The 21,864-nt window shown below is 42.8% G+C and overlaps 2 protein-coding genes across 17 annotated transcripts in view, besides 1 other annotated feature; both read left to right on the top strand.

The window, feature by feature from the left end:
* The first annotated feature begins 7,579 nt into the window (after window positions 1-7,579).
* Window positions 7,580-21,864, top strand: part of KAT14 (lysine acetyltransferase 14) — a 50,883-nt gene continuing 36,598 nt past the window's right edge. For 5 of the 16 annotated variants that reach the window (NM_001384192.3, NM_001392079.1, NM_001392081.1 and 2 more), the window contains exons 1-4: window positions 8,290-8,478; window positions 12,635-13,346; window positions 15,660-15,778; window positions 21,248-21,369. In NM_001384192.3, coding sequence (NP_001371121.2) covers window positions 13,088-13,346; window positions 15,660-15,778; window positions 21,248-21,369 — 500 coding nt within the window. In that variant the 5' untranslated portion in view covers window positions 8,290-8,478; window positions 12,635-13,087. The other 11 variants (NM_001392072.1, NM_001392078.1, NM_001392071.1 and 8 more) reach the window with 7 other exon arrangements.
* PET117 (PET117 cytochrome c oxidase chaperone) lies at window positions 8,290-13,596 on the top strand. The gene is made up of 2 exons (NM_001164811.2): window positions 8,290-8,478; window positions 12,635-13,596. Exons 1-2 carry the CDS (start codon window positions 8,383-8,385, stop codon window positions 12,782-12,784), a joined length of 246 nt encoding a protein of 81 aa, NP_001158283.1. The 5' UTR covers window positions 8,290-8,382; the 3' UTR covers window positions 12,785-13,596.
* Window positions 8,659-8,778: a silencer, noted in NCBI's record as "silent region_12701". NCBI's record gives its function as "represses an Ori minimal core promoter by ATAC-STARR-seq in GM12878 lymphoblastoid cells {active_cell/tissue: GM12878}" and the evidence as "EXISTENCE:reporter gene assay evidence [ECO:0000049][PMID:35858748]".

Here is a 21,864-nt window from a genome sequence, read left to right on the forward strand (position 1 = left end):
CCTACCTCAGCCTCCCGGGTAGCTGGGATTACAGGCACGCTCCATCATGCCTGGCTACTTTTTGTATTTTTAATAGAGACGGGGTTTCACCATGTTGGCCAGGCTGGTCTCGAACTCCTGACCTCAGGTGATCTGCCTGCCTCAGCCTCCCAAAGTGTTAGAATTATAGGCATGAGCCACCATGCCTGGCCAGAGTTTTTGACTTTTGGTATTTTCAACTTATGATGGATTTATCTGGACACAACCCCATCATAAGTTGAGAAGCATACTGAATGTCTATCACTTCCGCACCATTGTAAAGTGGAAAAATCATAAGTCAAGCCATCATAACTCTGGAATTGTCTGTATATCTGAAAAAATTGAAAGCAAGGATCAGAATCTGGCACACCAACATTCACAGCAGCATTATTCACAATTGCCAAAAGGTAGAAACATCTCAAATGTCCATCAGCAGATGAATGGATGAACAAAATGTTGTATATACATACAATGGAATATTATTAAGCCTTAAAGAGGAAGGAAGTTCTGACATGTGCTACAACATAAATGAACCTCAAAGGCATTATTGCTAAGTGAAATAAGTCACACACAAAAGGACAAATATTGCATAATTCCACTTATACGAGGCATCTAACATAGGCAAATTCACAGAGGCAGAAAGTAGAATAGCGCTTACCAGGGGCTAGAGGGAGGGGAAATAGGGAGTTACGTTTTAATGGACACAGTTTCTGTTTGGATAGATGAAAAAGTTATGGAGATGAATAGTGATGCTGGTTGCACAACAGTGCAGGTGTACTTAATGCCCCTGAGTTGTACGCTTAAACGTGGTTTACCTAGTAAATTTTATGCTATGTGTATTTTACACAACTTTAAAAAGATGAACTATGAGTTAAAAGCATTGGGTAAATAAGTAGAATTTCAAAAAAGCATTTAAAAAATTGTTTCCAAGTGTACTTTTCCAGAGTAGACTAGATACCATTGAAGTAAGAGAGACCCATCGATTAGAAAAGAGATAGGAAGGCAAATGAAATTAAAATGACCAGAGTTTAAAAAGGATTAGACAGAAAGTAATAAATGTGACAGGCAGGCACAGGAGATCCAATAGGCACATAATTCATGTCCCTGAAGGAGAAATTTGAATAGAACAGAAAATGTATTTACAGATGTAATTTAAAAAATTTTCCAGAGTTAAAAGTATGAATCTAAAAATTGAATGGGTACCTCGTGTCCAAGGAAAATAGACTCAAAAATATATTCTTGTAAAGTTATTGGACTTCAAAGATAAAGAAAGTATGCTTTAAGCAACTATGCAAAGTAATTAACTAAAAGGAGAAAATTAGACCGGCCTCCAAGTTGCCACAGCTATATTTGATATTTGAGGACAGATGGGTAAAGTCTATATAGTCTTCATGCAAAGAAAGTGTGACCCAAGAAATTTTTACTCAGCTGAACTGTACTTCAGGGACAAAGACAACACAAACATGTTTTTTTAATGTGCAAGAATTCAGGAAATATAGTTTCTACAACACTTTTTAAAAGATTCTAATAGAGGGTAGATGGAGAAAAGACACAGAAAGGACTGGTGATGACCATCAAATCCATTTAAAGATGCAACTAAGATGAAAACAAGCATGGCAATTATGGTTAAAGAACAAAATGTAGGCCAGGCGTGGTGGCTCACGCCTGTAATCCCAGCACTTTGGGAGGCTGAGGCAGGTGGATCACATGAGGTCAGGAGTTCGAGACCAGCCTGGCCAAAATGGAGAAAGCCCATCTCTACTAAAAATACAAAAATTAGCTGGGCATGGTGACAAGCCTGTAATCCCAGCTACTTGGGAGGCTGAGGCAGGAGAATCACTTGAATCTGGGAGATGGAGGTTGCAGTAAGTTGAGATTGAGCCACTGCACTCCAGCCTGGGTGACAGAGTGAGACCATGTCTCAGAAAAAAAAAAAAAGAGCAAAATATATATGTTATAAACTCTGACAGTGAAGGAGTGATATAACCAACAAAAGTTGAATGAGAAAGAGCAGAAGATAGGAAATAGGTCAAGTATGCTGGTGATATAGTTTGGCTCTGTGTCCCCACCCAAATATCATGTTGAATTGTAGTCCCCATTGTTGGAGGTGGAGCCTCATGAGGGGTAATTTGATCATGGGGGTGGTTTCTAATGGTTTAGCACCATCCTCCAAGTGCTGCCTCATAGTAGAGTTCTCACAAGATCTGGTTGTTTGAAAGTGTGTAACACCTCCCCTTTCTCTCTCTCTCTCTCCCTCTGCTGCCAGCCACGTGAAGATGTACTTGCTTCTCCTTCACCTCCTGCCATGATTGTAAGTTTCCTGAGGCCTCCCCAAGCATGCTTCCTGTACAGCCTGTGGAACTGTAAGTCAGTTAAACCTCTTTTCTTTATAAACTACCCAGGCTCAGGTAGTTCTTTATAGCAATGTCAAAACAAACTAATACAGCTGGTTTCCTGAATGTTTAGAGCTGGTGACCAGAATATATTATTTAAAGATGGTAAATCAAGCACAGAGGTCTAAATATATTTAAAGGCATAAAGGTAAAGCTTAAAAACAATCTAATCCCTAAGTTGGGCGGTATGAAGAGAGGATATATGCTGATTCCATCATGTTTATGGAAAGGAGTGAAAAAGGCCGGGCACGGTGGTTCGCACATGTAATCCATGCACTTTGGGAGGCTGAGGCAGGTGGATCACTTGAGGTCAGGAGTTCAAGACCAGCCTGGCCAACATGGTGAAACCCTCTATCTGCTAAAAATACAAAAATTAGCCGGGCTTGGTGGCATGCACCTGCACTTCCAGCTACTCGGGAGGTTGAGGTGGGATAATCACTTGAATCCAGGAGGCAGAAGTTGCAGTGAGCCAAGATCGTGCCACTGCACTCCAGCCTGGATGAGTGAGATCCTGTCTCAAAAAAGAAAGAAAAGAAAAGAAGGAAGGAAAGGAAAGAAAGGAAAGAAAGAAAGGAGTTAAAAAAATACTCTCAGGAAGATCCTAGGAAAAAGTGCAAACCATGACAAGAGCATCTAACTGTATTGCAAACATATGAAACGATATCACTGAAGGGGTGGAGGGCAAAGGTGCTGATTTGGTAACTTTGGAGTAAATGAGGTCTATAAAGCCAAAAGCAATAGGAACTGCAAAAAAGCATGGTACTCTAGTAGGTAAAGTTGTTTCCCACAAAAAAAAAATGACATATAATTATGAGGTAAACAATTCTGAAACTGCTATACATGTACACTGGAATCAAACAATTGCGCAAGTGGATGGTGGAAAATGGGAGCCTGAATTCTCACTGATGGAGTAGGAATTTACCAATAAAAAAAGGAGGTTAGAATAATCCATCTGGTAATGGACTAGAGTTGCAGACATCAGCAATATCTCACATTTTAGTCAATATAGATTCAGGTGATTACATATAGAAATATTTGCAGATATGTAACATACACAGATAAGTATACACACATATATTTATGTGCTTTGTCAGCTGAGAGGGCCCAAAAGAAACAAAGCCCCAGTAGCAATAAGCATGCCAGGACCTATATCTTGGATTCCAATATTATTCTACAATAAAAAGAACCTTGGATTCTTGGAGAAATGGCAGATTCTGAGACTTGGGCAGGAAATATACAAGATTAGCTCAGAATATTGTGCAGTGTCAGAAAATAGACAAGTGCTAAACAAGAAAAACACACATTGATGAGGGTCCGTCAGAGAAGCAGAGGAGCTGAAAGATCTCCCAACGGCCAAAGCGGGAGCCATCTGAGCAACAAAATAAAGTAATATTGGATTATAACCCAAAGTATAAAATAAATACCCACCAGTCCACACTGATAGAAACAAATGATTGAATCAGTTACTAAATGGGAGAGAAGAGACAAACCTGTGCAGAATTTCAGATTACTTATATAGATACTGCATTGAATTCATGGTGATTAATTCCAGTACCAGAAGAAAAACTGGCTGTTTTGGAGTTCCTGAGAAAATATCTATTTTCTTCAACATGTCACCTTCCTAAAATGTTTTCAAGGGTAGTTTTAACTGTTTTTGACTTTTTCCTTATGTGCTGACTTCAGAGCCTCAGCCTGAAGAAGGTGGGATTTCGTGGCCTTGTCTGCCTATAGAGCCCACTACAGGGCCATACACAAGGCAAGCCTTCTTGCTTGCATTTAAAATAGTCATAATGGTGCTTTATGCGGTGCCATGTGGTGTGATGTTTCTGTAATCATTTAGTGCTGAGACTGATAAATTTATCAGTCACTGGTGCCAGTTCAGCTGACACCCTCCACCTTCTTCCCAAACAAACCTCCTCCTTCCCACCTCCTCCTTCTCTCTCAGCCCCAATGATGACAAGCTTCTGATCATTGCCTGAAGCCTCTGCCTTGACCTATTGCATTCATGCCCACCATCAAGCCCAGTTTAAACCCGTGCCTCCTACTGATACCTCCTGCTAGGGTACTAGTGATTTACTATTCTTTAAGACAGAAGTGACCCGAAACCCAGCTCTCCCAGGATAGCTGCCAGGACCTGGCCATGATTCAAGCCCAAATAACATAAGCCAAATTACACACTCAGTGAGGAAGGCATTTTTTTCAAGTCCCCACCCTTGTGTGAGTGAAGGTGGAACAAAGATTGTGTGACCATGTTGTTCAAACACAGGAAAATGACTGCATTCCCTCCCCTTAGTTTTCATTTGTTGATTCTTCTCCAAGCCCTGACTTCCAACTGTACTTCTTTTTTGATGCTGCCTCTTGCTTAGAGGATTCTGAAGGGAAGGACAGGGTAGTATGCTGTTCTAAAGAGTATGGGACTTTATCCTGTAGGCATGGGGAGCCACTGAGCGGTTTTTAAGGTGGTCAGCTTCCTATTTTTGTCTTTGGAGGTAAGTTCACTCTGAAGGCCAGCCAATGGCAGGGCAAGGCACCCACTGTCCTCTCCAGGAAAGCAGTGGCCATTCTGGGCACACCTAAGTCAATCCAAAGCTGAGAGGGGCAGGAACTGATGTGATCTTAGGATGCCGAGACACTAGAATATAGCCAGATACACAAGGTTCAGATGTTCTGGCCTTACAAGCAAATTGTATTAAATCAGCCATGCTTCCTAAGCTTCGTCCCACCTTGGTAAACATAAAAAATAAGGATATCTGTACAACTCACTGGGATCAACTTGCGTGAGCTTGGATAATTCTAAAAGGAGCTTCATGGATAATAATTATTTACATTTCCTTTATATGGTACTCTTATAAAAAAGAAAAAGAAAAACAAAAAAATAAATGACATATAATTATGAGAAGAAAAATAAAAGCAAATCTTGGGGTAGATTTAAATATCAACTTTGGGTAAAATTTCCTGATAACATTCTTCTTGGAGTCTCTTTTAAATATCAAGTTTTGTGTTAAAAATAGTTCCTGATCATTGCTCCTGCACATAGTTCTTGATCAAGATTTTTTTTTTTTTTTTTTTTTTTTGAGATGGAGTCTCACTCTGTCACCCAGGCTGGAGTGCAGTGGTTTGATCTCGGCTCACTGCAACCTCCACCTCCCGGGCTCAAGTGATTCTCTTGCCTCAGTCTCCCAAGTAGCTGGGATTACAGGCACCCACCACCACACCTGGCTAATTTTTGTATTTTTAGTAGAGACGGGGTTTCATCATGTTGGCCAGGCTGGTCTCGAATCCCTGACCTCAAGTGATCCACCCTCCTTGGCCTCCCAAAGTGCTAGGATTAAAGGTGTGAGCCACCACGCCTGGCTGATCAAAATCTTTTTAAATGATCATCTCTTTAATTTTTGATAGTTACCATGGAGAAAAAACTTTTTTTTTTTTTTTTTTGAGTTGAAGTCTCACTCTGTCACCGAGGCTGGAGTGCAGTGGCTCACTGCAACCTCTGCCTCTCGGGTTCAAGCAATTCTCCTGCCTCAGCCTCCCAAGTAGCTGGGATTACAGGCATGCGCTGCCACATTTGGCGAATTTTTGTATTTTCAGTAGAGACGGGGTTTCACCATATTGGCCAGGCTGTTCTCGAACTCCTGACCTCAAGTGATCCACCTGCCTTGGCCTCCCAAAGTGCCTGGAATACAGGCATGAACCACCGTTCCCAGCCAAAAAGCTATTTGATACAAGAAGTGATGATAAAATGTAAAGCCATCGGCTATGAACCAATGGGAAAAAAAAGAAAAAAACACACAATAAAAAATCAAAAGGAAATAAAGACAATAAAAGAAACAAAAAAGAGCCATTTTTTTTCTGTTCGTATAGTTATGTAAGATTTTGTATAGAAGTGTATCATGCATGTATGTGTGACCACACAGCCTTGGTGTGCCACTGGACCAATTTTCACAAACACCCAGTACCAGCACCCAGTACTAGAGTTCTAGATCAGCCTAGCCAACATGGTGAAACCCCATCTCTACTAAAAATACAAAAATTAGTGCAGCCTGGTGGCTCAGGCCTGTAACCCCAACTACTCCAGAGGCTGAGATACAAGAATCGCTTGAATCTGGGAGGCAAAGGTTGCAGTGAGATCACCCCACAGCACTCCAGCCTGGGCGACGGAGTGAGACCCTGTCTCAATTAAAAAGAAGAAAAGAAAAGAAAAAGAAAAAAATAGTTGCTTCTCAGTTTGATGATATGCAGTCACTCTCACAAATCAGTAATTTATGCGACAATAATCACGGAAAATATACTGCTTAGGCTTATAAATATTTAAACAGATAAACATACTTTTTTTTTTTTGCAAGACCTCCCTCAGTCCCCCAACCCACTTTTTTATTTGACACAGTTAATAATAAATGATTTCTTAAAAGTAGAATACTTTTTTTTTTGCTTCTAGTATCCTGAAAATAAAGAAAAGAGTACATTTCAAGAAAACAAGTTGAAAAATTAGTCACAATAAAATGAAAGGCGATTGATCTAATTCCCTGATGTACACTCTAAGGACATACAGCTCTGTTGAAGGCTCACTGATTTACAGGGGAAAATATCTAGGATATACCACGAATAAAAAGAAGTCTAATATAATTTTTAAAGAGAAATATGCAAATACACCCTGAACTGAATTTCTTCTCAAAGTTCATTACAGCAAGAACTCCATTTTCCAATTCAGTGGTACATTCTCTCTAGGCTGCAAAAAATGCTGTGGACAAAATGACATTTGGAAAAGGTATCTTTAAAGATACCTTTAAGAGCAATAGTCCCCTTATGCCATTTACGCTCACATAAGAGACTGGAATAGCAAAGCACTATGAACAGTAATGAATGTTGTAAAACTCCCTGGTGAGGCTTAATCAATACTGCCTATAGCCGTGTCCACCGGAAGAAGCTCGTTCTCTGTGAATTCTAGTGGGAAAGAATGATTGAATGATGAACACGTTTTCACTGGTTGCTCTATCAGATACTTAAAAGTTTCTGGGAGGCCTTGCCTTTTTTACCCGAGGAAGAAGTGAAAATGCGTCTTGCACAATTGCTTAACTATTCCCAACGCAAGACTTCTTTATATCATTTATTTCCCTTGTATTACTGGCGCGGAAACTTGGGTGTAAAAGTGATCACAAAGATTACATGGGGCCAGGCGCGGTGGCTCACGCCTGTAATCCTCTCGGGAGGCTGAGGCAGGAGAATCGCTTGAATCCGGTAAGGTTGCAGTGAGCCGAGATCGCGCCACTGCACTCCAGCCTGGGCGATAGACAGAGACTCTGTATCAAAATTATAATAATAATAATAATAATAATCCGAGCCTGACCAGTCGCCCCACAGCGTCAAGGTGAAACCAGGTGACCGCGACTACAGCGTTTAATAATGGGTCCTCAGGCAAAAACTCCACGGATGGGAACCCCGCGCCTCTGAAGCTGCCTAACGAGGCGGTCTCCTGGTGGCGCCTGCCCCGCCAAAGGAGCAATGAGGGGGCTGCGTTTAGGCGAAGCCGGTATTGGGCGAAGCTTCTGGATCAGTCAGGGGCTCAGAAGGGACGTCTGTGGGAGAGGGGTCAGCACGGTATCCAGACCCCGCCCGGGGTGAGGTTGGTACTGAACTGACTGAGGGGCATGGAACCCCCACCCTCCACCCTGGTAAGGTGCCGGGGCCAGTTTGGGCCGGGACTCCTAGAATTTGAATCGGGGGTGGTCTAACGCTGTCGCCTGCGGGGTGTGCAGGAGGCCCCTAGTGAAGCCAAGAGTTCGTAGAGCCTGGGCGCCGCTCTATGCTCGGCTCTCGATTGCTCACGCCTGGCAGCGGCGAGCGGCGCACGCGACGGCTGGGGCTCTGCGCTCGAGGGGTCGAGCCTGGGCAGTACAGGCGGCGGTGCGCACTCTGCGGCGGCCTCTGCGCCTCGGGCGGGCGGGAGAGAGAGGCCGCGGCCGCCAGCGTGGGGATGTCTAGGAGCTCGAAGGTGGTGCTGGGCCTCTCGGTGCTGCTGACGGCGGCCACAGTGGCCGGCGTACATGTGAAGCAGCAGTGGGACCAGCAGGTCGGTGTCACGTGACCGTCTCTTCCGGGCCCGCGCGCGCGGCGTCGACCTGGGGCCTCTCGTGGTCTCTGCCCGCTCGGTTCCTCAGCTCCTCTTCGTGTCTTTCCCCCGCGGTGGCGCGGCCCTGCACCCCACGCGTTTGCGGCTGCGGCCGGCGGCCGCTCTGCTGGGCTCCGGGCGCTGCAGCTCCCGGCGGGCGTGTGCAGCCCGCAGATTCAGGACGACCCGGCTGCCCGGCTTAGCGCCTTTGGAGCTCCGCGCTGAAGGGGCCTTGCTCCGCACAGGCACGGCACGCAAGCTTTTGGGGTGCCCAGTGGCTCTGTTTTCAAGTCACAGCCGGCCCGCAGGGTGCGGACCTTTCCACATCTCACTTGGGCCGCTAGAAAATAGAAGGTGGGGAAGGAGTTTCTTGGGGTGCATTCTGCAAGCTACCAGCCTCCCTCCTGGCCCAAGGTTGGGGTTAAAGCCTAATGTGTTTTACGTGCTATTGATTTTATCCCATGGTAAGGGAGCCCCCCTTCCCCGTACTCACTCTCCATGCCTTTGACCAAGATAATTTGGTGAGATGTTTGCACTTCTCGTTTAAATGAACAGTTTGCTATGGAAACTAGAATCTGGGAACGATAGAGATAACAGTCTCCAGATTTTTTTTTTTGGTACTTTTATTTCAGGAAATATCCGTGACCTGCTGATCAGCAGTGACTATTCTGTCCTCTCAGTTCATATTTTCTTTCTTATTCAAGTTGACAGACCTTTAATGGGTGATTACTGTGTGGAAGCTACCTCACTAAGCACCTTGGGAATACAAAGATAAGGAAACTCCACTCTTCCAGAGTCTATCAGTGATTCACGACCTTGCTGAGAACAGGGTCATTGGTGAATTTTCAGAAAACAACTTGGCAGTGATTGGGGTTGAACCTAGTTCACCAAGGGTGAAAATAATGGACTGGATGAATCAAGAGTAAACAGTCTTTTCTTGATTTGCCTACCCAGACCTTTGGACTGTGCTATGTGCTTGATATACAGAGATGAAGTGGATGAGGTCTTTGTTCTTGGTGTTCACAGACTGTGGAAATTAGAAGAGAGGAAGCATGTGATGGTACAAGAATTTTGACGAGGGGTTGAGATGACTTAACAATGAAAGGGCACAGGAGAGATCAGAGATTTGGGATTAAAATGTGCTCCTAAGGGGCTGGCTTTTGGAATAGAGGCAGAAGACTTCCGCCTCTTACAAGGAAAAGTAAAAGATGTTGATCCTGGGAAAACTTGAGATGGAGTAAAATTTAGTATGACAGATGATCTGACGTCAGTGAAGTGATGTTTGAAGGGTTTGGGTAGGGATGGATTAGAGCTTGGCTTTGGACCCTAACTGAACATCAAATGTTCCCGGAAAGTTTTTACAATGTGACTAAGGCTTGGTCCCCACCCCAGACCATTTAAACCAGAATCTCCTGGGGATGGGGACCTGGTTCAACAATGTTTTAAAAGTAACCCAGAGAATTTTAACACAGGACTAAGCACCATTGTGTTACAGAGTGGAAAAGTGGTTATTTGGAAGTTAGAGCTGAAGAACCAAAATAACGTGTGTGTGTGTGTGTGTGTGTGTGTGTGTGTGTGTGTGTGTTTATTTTTTTTCCTTTTATGTCCGGTTCTTCATTAGGGGCTTACATTGTATTAATAGCAGTGGGAAAGACTAGGACAAATGATTAGCACAGTGGATGTGTCGGAAGGTTCAAGGAAGCAAGAAATTAAATAATGAATATTGATTCCTGACCGTCTACCACATACCAGGCAGTGTATTAAGCACTTTATGTATATCATCTGTAATCCTCACAGTAACCTAGCAAAAATTAAGCAGTGCTACATGAGGAGCCAGAGTTCTAGGTGTTAGGGTTGGAAGAATAAAGAGGTCTTTAGTGATTAGTAAGGAAAGTTGTTAGAAAGGTAGTTCAGTGAGGGTCACAGGAAGGATGTGTGAGGCAATCAGCATAGACCTTGAAACCTAGAGGAAGATAGCAAATGATGGGATGGAGAGCCAGATCATAAGCACACGTGACATCTCTGAGAAGGAAGGGTAGGATCTGGGAGGCAGGTGTGGAAGGAATGATTCTGGTGAATGGTGTGGGCTTGGGAGGGTGGGTATCGGTGTGTCATGGTGTAAGAAGCACAGGACAGGAAGACCTGCAGTTGGGGGAGTGGAATAAGCACCTCCGTTTTTGTCTCAGTGGTGATCTTGCCAAGGGTGCATGGTTCAAGACAGTTGTGTTTCAGTTGAGTTATATCAATCCCGGGACTCCTTCAAATCCCTCATAATGAAGCTGTAGGCCTGGAGGAGGTCCAGCAAGTAGGTATTATATTAGGTGAGTTTTTAAAAATAGGTAAAATAATTTGGAAAAAACCCCACAAACATACGCAGGCCCTGGGCCCCACTCCCATTAATTCTACTCTATATAGCCACTATTAAAAACCATTTATTGGCCAGGCACGGTAGCTCATGCCTGTAATCCCAGCACTTTGGGAGGCTGAGGCAGGCAGATCATTTGAGGTCAGGAGTTCGAGACCAGCCTGGCCAACGTGGTGAAACCCCGTCTCTACTAAAAATACAAAAAAATTAGCCAGGCCTGGTGGCGCACGCCTGTAATCTCAGCTACTGGGGAGGCTGAGGCACAAGAATCGCTTTAACTCAGAAGGTGGAGATTGCAGTGAGCTAAGATCGTGCCATGGAGCCAAGATCTCCAGCCTGGGTGACAGAACGAGACTCCTTCTCAAAAAAAAAAAAAAAAAACCAATAAAACAAAACAAAAAAAACCCTATTTATTTATTTTGAGATGGGGCTTGTTCTGTCACCCAGGTGGGAGTGAAGTGGCACAATCTTAGCTCACTGCAGCCTGTGCCTCCCAGGCTGAGGTGATCCTATCACCTCAGCCTCCGGAGTAGCTGGGAACACAGGCACACACCACCACTCCCTGCAATTTTTTTTTTTTTTTTTTTTTTTATTTTTATTTTTGCTAGAGATGGGATTTTGCCATGTTGCCCAGGCTGGTCTAGAACTTCTGAGCTCAAGCAGTCTGCCTGCCTTGGCCTAAGATTACAGGAGTGCTGGGATTACAGGAGTGAGCCACCACGCCTGGCCTAAAACCTTTAGAGTATTTTGTGAGCAATAAACTATAAAATGTTAGTTATTAGTAATGACTGATGTTTTTAAAAGTCTCTTCTTGGGTGCCAGGTCCACGTTCTGAAGTGCTGTGGTTTTTTAGTGCTTACTAAGGTAACTACCATTGATGAGCATTTATTTTTTCCGCTGGTAGTAGCATCCTTCTTTTTCTTCTTTCTCTGTTATATAATTAATTAATAATTCTGCATGATTTTTACATTGTTAACTTTACATGCTAGAAGCCAAGTTGAGATTTTAGTAATCTGCATTTTTTCTGTTGGTGTTTATTGTTCAGCTAGGATAAGTGCTAACAGAAGAGTAGTTTAGAGTGTTACTGTAGTAACTCGCCAAGTTTTTAAAGCATTACATATCAATTAAACTTTAAAAATTTAACATTGGCCGGGTGCAGTGGCTCACGCCTGTAATCCGGCACTTTGGGAGGCTGAGGCAGGTGGATTACTTGAGATCAGGAGTTCGAGACCAGCTTGGCTGACGTGGTGAAACCCCGTCTCTACTAAAAATACAAAAATTAGCTGGGCATGGTGATGCACGCCTGTAGTCTCAGCTACTCGGGAGGCTGAGGCCGGAGAATCACTTGAACCCAGGAGGTGGAGGTTGCGGTGAGCTGCGGAGTGCAGCCACTGCACTCCAGCCTGGGCGACAGAGCGAGACTCTTGTCTCAAAAAATAAATAAAAAAAAATTTAACATAGTGCCAGTTTTTTTTTTCTGTTATTTCCCATTAAATTTTCTGTACTAAATGTTCAGGAATTTCTTAAAATATGATAAGAAATCATTTCAGTAATAACATTTAGCACACTACCAAATTTATTTGATCGTTTATTACATTTTACATTTGTACAGAAAATTAAAATAGTAACTGGGTATTTGGAATCTGAAAGTTTTAAGTATATTTTGGTAACACTGTTATTTGGATTTGAATGGCACAAGGATGGGGACCACCTGTTCGGGATGTTACTGAAATCTGTTTCTTACGTTTTTAGAGGCTTCGTGACGGAGTTATCAGAGACATTGAGAGGCAAATTCGGAAAAAAGAAAACATTCGTCTTTTGGGAGAACAGATTATTTTGACTGAGCAACTTGAAGCAGAAAGAGAGAAGATGTTATTGGCAAAAGGATCTCAAAAATCATGACTTGAATGTGAAATATCTGTTGGACAGACAACACGAGTTTGTGTGTGTGTGTTGATGGAGAGTAGCTTAGTAGTATCTTCATCTTTTTTTTTGGTCACTGTCCTTTTAAACTTGATCAAATAAAGGACAGTGGGTCATATAAGTTACTGCTTTCAGGGTCCCTTATATCTGAATAAAGGAGTGTGGGCAGACACTTTTTGGAAGAGTCTGTCTGGGTGATCCTGGTAGAAGCCCCATTAGGGTCACTGTCCAGTGCTTAGGGTTGTTACTGAGAAGCACTGCCGAGCTTGTGAGAAGGAAGGGATGGATAGTAGCATCCACCTGAGTAGTCTGATCAGTCGGCATGATGACGAAGCCACGAGAACATCGACCTCAGAAGGACTGGAGGAAGGTGAAGTGGAGGGAGAGACGCTCCTGATCGTCGAATCCGAGGATCAGGCATCAGTGGACTTATCGCACGACCAGAGTGGGGATTCCCTCAACAGTGATGAAGGAGACGTGTCTTGGATGGAGGAGCAGCTGTCCTACTTCTGTGACAAGTGCCAAAAATGGATACCAGCCAGTAAGGAGCTTCTCAATTCCTTTGATTTGTCAATTCCTGTGTGAAGGTTTGTTTTTCCAACCTGTGAAAGAAACGTGAATGTAAAAGAGACCTAAATAAAAGGATAATTATATTTATTCTCTAGTTGATCAGCTATAAATTTATATAAAACATAGGCATGTTTGTACTAATGAAACGTACTGTCAACCTCTATCACATTGTTAAATTAACACTTTTGGTGGTAACTCAATAAAATTGAGAAAATTGGAAATCCTGTGTTACTTAAAGAATTAGCCATATTTTTCTAACAAGGTCACAGAGATTTAGGGCCAAATTCCAGTCCCAGTGTTGAATTCATGTTCAAGTTTATAAAAATTACTTTGTTAATATTTAACTTACGTGGAGAACTCCTGCTATTGTATACTGAAAAGAGGTTAGAATTAGCAGATTGAAGGTGTTTTTTGCCCTTTTTCTAGGACCAGTCTTTTTTTCCATTTTCCTTTTTTTCTGCTGGCAAGAGATACCTCATACACACTCCCTGATTGCCTCAATCTTGAGATTTTCTTTTCTTTCTTTTTTTTTTTTGAGATGGAGTTTTGCTTTTGTTGCCCAGGCTAGAGTGCAATGGCATGATCTCGGCTCCTGGGTTCAAGCGATTCTCCTGCCTCAGCCTCCCAAGTAGCTGGGATTATAGTGTTTGCCAGCACACCTGGCTAATTTTTTTTTTTATTTTATTTTTTTTTTTTGAGACGGAGTTTTCCTCTTATTGCCCAGGCTGGAGTGCAATGGCATGATCTTGGCTCACTGCAACCTCCGTCTCCCAGGTTCAAGTGATTCTCCTGCCTCGGCCTCCCGAGTAGCTGGGATTACAGGCATGCGCCACCATGCCCGGCCAATTTTGTATTTTTAGTAGAGATGAGGTTTCTTCTCCATGTTGGTCAGGCTGGTCTCAAACTCCCAACCTCAGGTGATCCATCCGCCTCGGCCTCCCAAAGTGCTGGGATTACAGGCATGTGCTACTGTGCTCGGCCCTGATCTTGAGATTTTCAATGGCCAGCTTCCTGGCACCTGAGGAGTATGGCTTGCCAGCCATCATATGGTTTATACCGAAACAGGATTTTCCCATTAGGCAAGAGACTAGTAAAGATATAGGTACTTGAGGAATGCCTTTGTGTAATATAATTTGTAACCAAGTCAGAGAAATACATATATAACTGTGAAGAGGGTCATTTTCTGGCATGTGGAAATGTTTTTCTTAAAATGGGTTCAACTTCAAATTTAGTCACTGTTAACAAATTAATAGTAACATTTTCACAGGAAATGCAGAATTTACTAGTTAGCTGGTTTTTGCTTCTGAGCGGTCTCTGTTATTGATTTCAGGTTCTGCCTGAATTCTCAGTGGCTTTCCCTTTGTCCTGTTGAGGACAAATTTTAAGCTACCCTTTGTGGTCAGGACCCTGCTAACTGTAGTTTCTTTGATTCCCACACAACTTTGCAGTTAGGGTGAACTTATTCTTCACAAACAATTCTTATCCTTAGGGCTTTGCACAGTTTTTTTCTTCTGGAATATGCATCTCCACAGCCTCCATTCTCCCTATACACAAAGAGACCCCTTTTCACCTGGCCAATTTCTAATCCTAAGCCTCCCCCTAATATAGGTTGGGCCTCCTTTTATTTACCCTCACACTGCCCTGTGGTACACAGCACATTCCATTCCTTATGTGTCACAGAGCATCAGCATCACCTGAGGGACTAAGAAATGTAACTCCTAGGCTCTGCTTCAGAAATTGATGCATTTTATCTGGGCTAGAATCAAGCATATTTAGAAAACCAAGAACAACTTGGGTGATTCCAATGCACTGTGAGCATGGAGAACCACTGTGTTGTTGTGATCACCTGTTTTCTATGCAGCCCTCAGGGAAGTGCAAACCTGTGAGATCAGGCACCATTATCTGTCTTGGACTTTGTATTCCCAGTTCCTAGCCCAGTGCCTGGTATGCAGAGGGAGCTCATATTTTTTGAAAGAATGTGTGAAGAGACCTGCCTCTGGGAGTCAGGAATGTGACAATTGGGAAATCCAGCAACAATACCTGCTTTTCCAGTACCTTTCTCCTAAAAGTTACTGGATCCTACAGATCTTAGTGGGCGTATACTTGGTGTTAGAAGAATAGAAATCTTTCTAATTCCCTTCCTTTTCCCCATTTTGCAATTGTGGGTTGGCTGAAGAAAAGAAGACAACATGGGAAAGGAAAATCTGGGTGATAAACGGATTAAACCTTTAGGTTACCGCTGCTCTAGATAAACCCATGATGTGACTTTTTGTTTTTCTCCTAGGTCAGCTGAGGGAACAGCTCAGTTACCTTAAGGGTGATAATTTTTTTAGGTTTACTTGTTCGGATTGCTCAGCAGATGGCAAGGAGCAGTATGAAAGGCTGAAGCTGACATGGCAGCAAGTGAGTAAAAAGCCCTTCCCCAAATCCATGAGGGTGGTTCCCCCAGGAGTTTGTTGGAACGAATATCTAGAAACTTAGGGATGAGCTTTTGAGTTGTTTGGAGGGGCACTTTTTATTTCGCAATGAAATTAGATACCGAATATGTGGAGAAGGGAGTGAAAAATACTCGCTGTAATCCCAGCACTCTGGGAGGCCAAGGCGGGCAGATCACCTGAGGTCAGGACTTCGAGACCAGCCTGGCCAACATGGTGAAACCCCATTTCCATTGAAAATACAAAAATTAGCTGGCTATGGTGGTGGGCCCCTGTAATCCCAACTACCTGGGAGACTGAGGCAGGAGAATCGCTTGAACCTGGGAGGCGGAGGCTGCAGTGAGCCCACACCGTGCCACTGTACTCCAGCTTGGGCGACAAAGTGTGACTCCTTTTCAAAAAAAAAAAAATATATTCACTGCTGACTTGGTGAATTGGGCTTGAGAGGCTTGAGAATCTCATGATTTCTTTTATATGTGATACCAAGCTCTGATTATAATTGAAAATGAAATTCTCATTTTCCTGGCAGCCATTTTAAGAACAATAAAACTATTTTTTTAAAGTGGAAAGATGGCTATGTTGAAAATAGATTTGGAAGAAGGAAGGTGACTGATTGCAAAAACCAACATAACCCAGCTTTTCTGCATTTGAACTCGGAGATGTTTGAATTTTTGTTTGCTGAAATACTTGTTCCTTTTTAACTGTCTCTAATATCAGCACCCTAATCTAAGTCAGCTGTATCCTAAACAATAGCTTTTTGCTGATCTCCAGGTTGTATTAAATTGTTTTAGTTTTGTTTCTATGTCAATATGTTAATGTATAATATGAATAATAAGGCATCAGTGTATACTTTTTAGTTCAAAAACCAGATGAAACCAGACATGGTGGCTCACATCTGTAATCCCAGCACTTTGGGAGGCGGAGGCGGCCAGATCACCTGAGCTCAGGAGACAAGCCTGGGCAACGTGGTGAAACCCCGACTCTATAAAAAACAGGCCAGGCGCGGTGGCTCATGCCTGTAATCCCAGCACTTTGGGAGGCTGAGGGAGGCAGATCACCTGAGGTCGGGAGTTCGAGACCAGCCTGACCAACATGGAGAAACACCGTCTCTACTAAAAATACAAAATTAGCTGGGTGCGGTGGCACATGCCTGTAATCCCAGCTACTTGGGAGGCTGAGGCAGGAGAATTGCTTGAACCCAGGAGGCGGAGGTTGCAGTGAGCCGAGATCGCGCCACTGCACTACAGCCTAGGCAACAAGAGTGAAAGTCCATCTCAAAAAAAACCAAAAAAACAAAACAATACAAAAATTAGCTGAATGTGGTGGTGGTGCACTCCTGTGGTCCCAGCTTCTCAGGAGACTGATGTGGGAGGGTTGCTTGAGCCTGGGAGGTTGAGGCTGCAATGAGCTGTGATCGAGCCACTGTACTCCAGCCTGGGTGGTGACAGAGTGAGACCCCATCTCAAAAAAAAAAAAATTATATATTACTTAGTTTTTATGTTCATTCATTCATTCAACAGATACTGAGTACCTGTTATGAACCAGGTGCTGTTCTAGGCCTGAGACTACTGTGGTGAACGAGACAGCTAAGGCCTCTGCCCCAAGACAGCTGACATTCTATACTTAATTTTGATAATAAACAGATCAACAAGATAATTACCCACAGCACTTTTTACTTTGAAGGAAATAGAGTAATGAGAAAGATTTTAAATTACACCATTTTAGCCACTTATGGTGTTCCTTGTAAATTGTAGTTGCCTTAGCAGCCTTCGTCTATTATCTTAATTATCAGTGCTTTATTAGGACAGCTGATGAAATCTGTCAGTGTTGAATTAGGAAGCCTTTTCTTTGACTTGCCTGAAAAAAATGTAAGTAGAAAATGAAGAGAAGTTTGTATTGAGGATAGAGCCTTATGAATATTATAACTGGGACATTTTTCTCAAGTGTACATGGGATACTGTGTGTAGGCAAGATCTTATTAATAGATTATTGTGATATGTGCACACAGGTAGATTTGTATTTGTCCTGCAAGTTGTTTCTCATAAAAGCTGTAAAATGGAAGAAGAGCAAATATATGTAAATTTTCAAAAATGTGAGTTTTCTGTAGTGGTTCTTTTTAAAAGAAAAGCTGGCTTTTGCTTATTTTGCTCAGAGTATGTAATATTGGCTCACTTTGCATATTTATTTATTCTTTTTAAAAAAAAATTTTAAATCTTTTTGAGGCACAGTCTCACTCTGTTGCTCAGGCTGGAGTGCAGTGGCACAATCTCGGCTCACTGCAACCTCCGCCTCCCAGGTTCAAGCAATCCTCCTGCCTCAGCCCCTCTAGTAGCTGGGATTACAGGCATGTGCCACCATGCCTGGCTAATTTTTTGTATTTTTAGTAGAGATGGGGTTTTGCCATGTTGGCCAGGCTGGTCTCGAACTCCTGACCTCAGGTGATCCACCCACCTCGGCATCCCAAAGTGCTGGGATTACAGGCGTGAGCCACCGTGCCCGGCCACTTTGCATATTTAATTAGACTAACATAACTTGCAGATTATTTTTTCACTTCCAAAATACGTATTGATGGTGGATACTAACCTGGTAGGGTGAAGTGATAACTTAGGTTGCACATATGTGGTTCTTAGCAAACAACTGACCAGTATTTCTAGTTGCATCTGAAAAAGCCCATCTCTCACTGAAGACCTGAAAGAGAATCAGTTGGTCTTGAATGGACTCCATTGATGTAGCCACATTCTTAGTATATTGAAATGTGGGTTTTCCGTCTTTAAATTTTAAACTTTGAAAGATTTACCAAAGAAATATGTAGAAATGCTTGTAACACAAATAGCATTTTGTTTGTATTATAAAATACTTACAGTAAAGAGGTCTGATCTCCTGATTAAAAAGCCCCTTCTTGCCACACTCCCTTTCTGTGTCCTCTCCTCTTCCTTGGTGACTCCTGTGAATAGCAGTTCCATACGTAGGAGAAACTTTATCAAACATTTGGGAAGGATAGGGAAGTTTTTGCATTCTTTTCCTGGAGACTCATTCTTATGGCACAAGTAAAGATACTATGATCGATCTTTGCTTGTTATTTTTCTAGTGTTCTTCAGCATATACTGAGTACCTGCCAGCTCTGAGCTAGGCCCTGTGGATACATTGGTCCACAAGATCAGCCTCATTACTGATGAGCTTGGTCTGGTAACATGAGAGCAGAAAACTAAACTGGGGTTCATTTTTTTTTGTTTTTTTTTTTTTGAGATGGAGTTTCACTCTTGTTGCCCAGGCTGGAGTGCAATGGCGCGATCTTGGCTCACTGCAACCTCTGCCTCCTGCATTCAAACGATTCTCCTGCTTCAGCCTCCCGAGTAGCTGGAACTACAGGCGTGCGCCACCATGCCTGGCTAATTTTTGTATTTTTAGTAGAGACGGGGTTTCACCATGTTGGCCAGGCTGGTCTTGAACTCCTGACCTCACGTGATTCACCCACCTCAGCCTCCCAAAGTGCTGGGATTACAGGCGTGAGCCACCATGCCCGGCCTGGGATTCATTCTTTTAGATCATAAATTCCAGGAGAGAAGGAAAAACAGGTCCTTTATATATTAGTTTATAGTTTGCCTAGTAAAGATTAAGTGATAATAGAAAAAGTTATTTTCAAGTAAATATGTAAGCTTTTTAGGGTCATAAAATGTCTCAATTATACAAAAAAGTCATAGAAATACTTTATCACTGAGATTATCAGCAAATACATATTTCTGAGATACTCTTCTGAGAGTGGGCAAAGCTCGTTCTATGATTTTCTTAAATTATTTATTGAGCAATAATTATTTTTTAAAATTGTGATGAAATATGCATAACATATAGTTTACCATTTTTTAGTGTACAGTGCAGTGGAATTAAGTACATTCACATTGCTGTGTAATCACCACCACCATCCACCTCCAGAATTTTTTTATCTTTACAAAATGAAACTCCGTGCCCATTAAACACTAACTTCCCATGAATATTGATTGTTTAAAGGAAGGTGTTTGTTGGCTGATGTAGACCAGATGCAGATATAACTGGAAGACATTTTTTAAAATCTGTTCATGGGGTTAATTGTTTTTAGACTGTCTGCAAGTATTGCAAGTTTAAGAATGGGGGAAATTGAAACTTGGTTAGTGAAGGGTCAGAATTACTGGGCCCCTTTGAGTGGTGTAGATATTGCTCTTTCCGTAAGACTGCTGGGGATTTAATGCTGTGAATACAGATGTTGGGGGCATTAACTGCAATTTACTACACTCCTTACAGCTACAGGATGCTCTTTATAGAAATAAGGATTAGGCTGGGCGCAGTGGCTCACATCTGTAATCCCAGCACTTTTGGAGGCTGAGGCGGGCAGGTCACTTGAGGTCAGGAGTTTGAAACCCTGTCTCTACTGAAAATACAAAAATTAGCCAGGAGTGGTGGTGCGCATCTGAGATCCCAGCTACTTGGGAGGCTGAGGCAGGAAAATTGCTTGAACCCAGGAATCAGAGGTTGCAGTGAGCCGAGATCGCACCATCACATTCCAGCTTGGGCATCACAGTGGGACTCTTGTCTCAAAAAAACCAAACAAACAAATACAAAAAAACATCTATATGAGTATCTGAGTATAGATGCAAAGAAAAATGTCTGAAAGGATGGGATTATTTCTTGATGGTGGATTTCAAGTGATTTTTACTTCCTTCCCATTTGGGGCCATGAATTCCTCATCTGTAAAATAAGAGTAGATTAGATTAGGAGTTTGCATCCTGAGCTCTGGGGTTGTCTTGGAGCGCTCTGAAAATGGGCTGAGTGGCTAGGCCTTTCAGTTCCCTGTTTCTTCTCTAATGCTGATTTCATTTGAAGGAGGGGTTTGACAGGTAAAAATGGCTAAGTCACCGAGTAGATAGATGGCATGTAGCATTATTTTTAGTTCTGAAATTCTGAGTCTTGTTTTTGCCATCTAAGAGCTTAGAGAAATATATACAAGGGTAATTTTCAAGATATTTGATAAAGGGTAGTGCCGTTGGTCAGAAAATGCTGGCTGGAGTAGGCACCTGGAGGCCTCCTGCTGGCCAGAAGGTACCCCTTGATTTAGGACTACACTGTGTAGGGTGCGGGATCCTTGGGACAATGCCTGTTTATCAGCTGATTCAGGGGCATCTCTGTTGTAGCCATCAGTTCAGCCACACATTAGCCCTGCATGTGTGGCACCTAAGGATTAGATGCTTAGTTCTGCACATAATTAAGTGGATTAGTGATAATCTAACGAAAGTAAAAAAGGAAGTAAATTCTACCCTGGGAATATTCCAAGATACCGTCCGTCCTTTGTTCGCTCTGTTCCCCACCATTCCTACTCAGAATATAAAACAGAAGAAGCTTTTCCCCCCTCAAGATTAACATCCCTAACCGTGCTGTTCTCCCACCTCTTGTTTCAATTGTGTTTCAGGTCGTCATGTTGGCAATGTACAACTTGTCTCTGGAAGGAAGTGGACGTCAAGGTTATTTCAGGTGGAAAGAAGATATCTGTGCTTTTATTGAGAAACATTGGACTTTTTTACTAGGGAATAGGTAATGTGTTTTTAAAAAATCTTATACTTCAAGGAATATGTAAAGAATGAAGTATACAGGATTTGAGACAGCCTAATGTAGACTTGTTAGAGATTTATTTTAATTTTTTTGAGATAGAGTCTCCCAGGCTGGAGTGCAGTGGCATGACCATAGCTCACTGCATCCTCAACCTCCTGGGCTCAAGTAGTCCTCCTGCATCAGCCTCCTGAGTAGCTGGGATTACAGGTGTGCACCAACATGCCTGGCTTATTTATTTATTTATTTATTTTTTGGAGGCAGAGTCTTGCTCTCTCCCCCAGGCTAGAGTGCAGTGGCGTGATCTCGGCACACTGCAACCGCCACCTCCCGGGTTCAAGCGATTCTCCTGCCTTAGCCTCCTGAGTAGCTGGGATTACAGGCACCTGCCACTATGCCCAGCTAATTTTTGTATTTTTAGTAGAGACGGGGTTTCACCATGTTGGCCAGGCTGGTCTTGAACTCCTGACCACAAGTGAT

Source organism: Homo sapiens, chromosome 20 (genome assembly GCF_000001405.40).
Source record: "Homo sapiens chromosome 20, GRCh38.p14 Primary Assembly".
NCBI classification, from domain to species: Eukaryota; Metazoa; Chordata; class Mammalia; order Primates; family Hominidae; genus Homo; species Homo sapiens.

Coding starts and splice junctions, on each gene's coding strand:
- PET117 (NM_001164811.2), top strand. CDS start 8,383: ATGTCTAGGAGCTCGAAGGTGGTGCTGGGCCTCTCGGTGCTGCTGACG. Junction 8,479..12,634: donor AGCAGCAGTGGGACCAGCAG/GTCGGTGTCACG, acceptor TTACGTTTTTAG/AGGCTTCGTGACGGAGTTAT.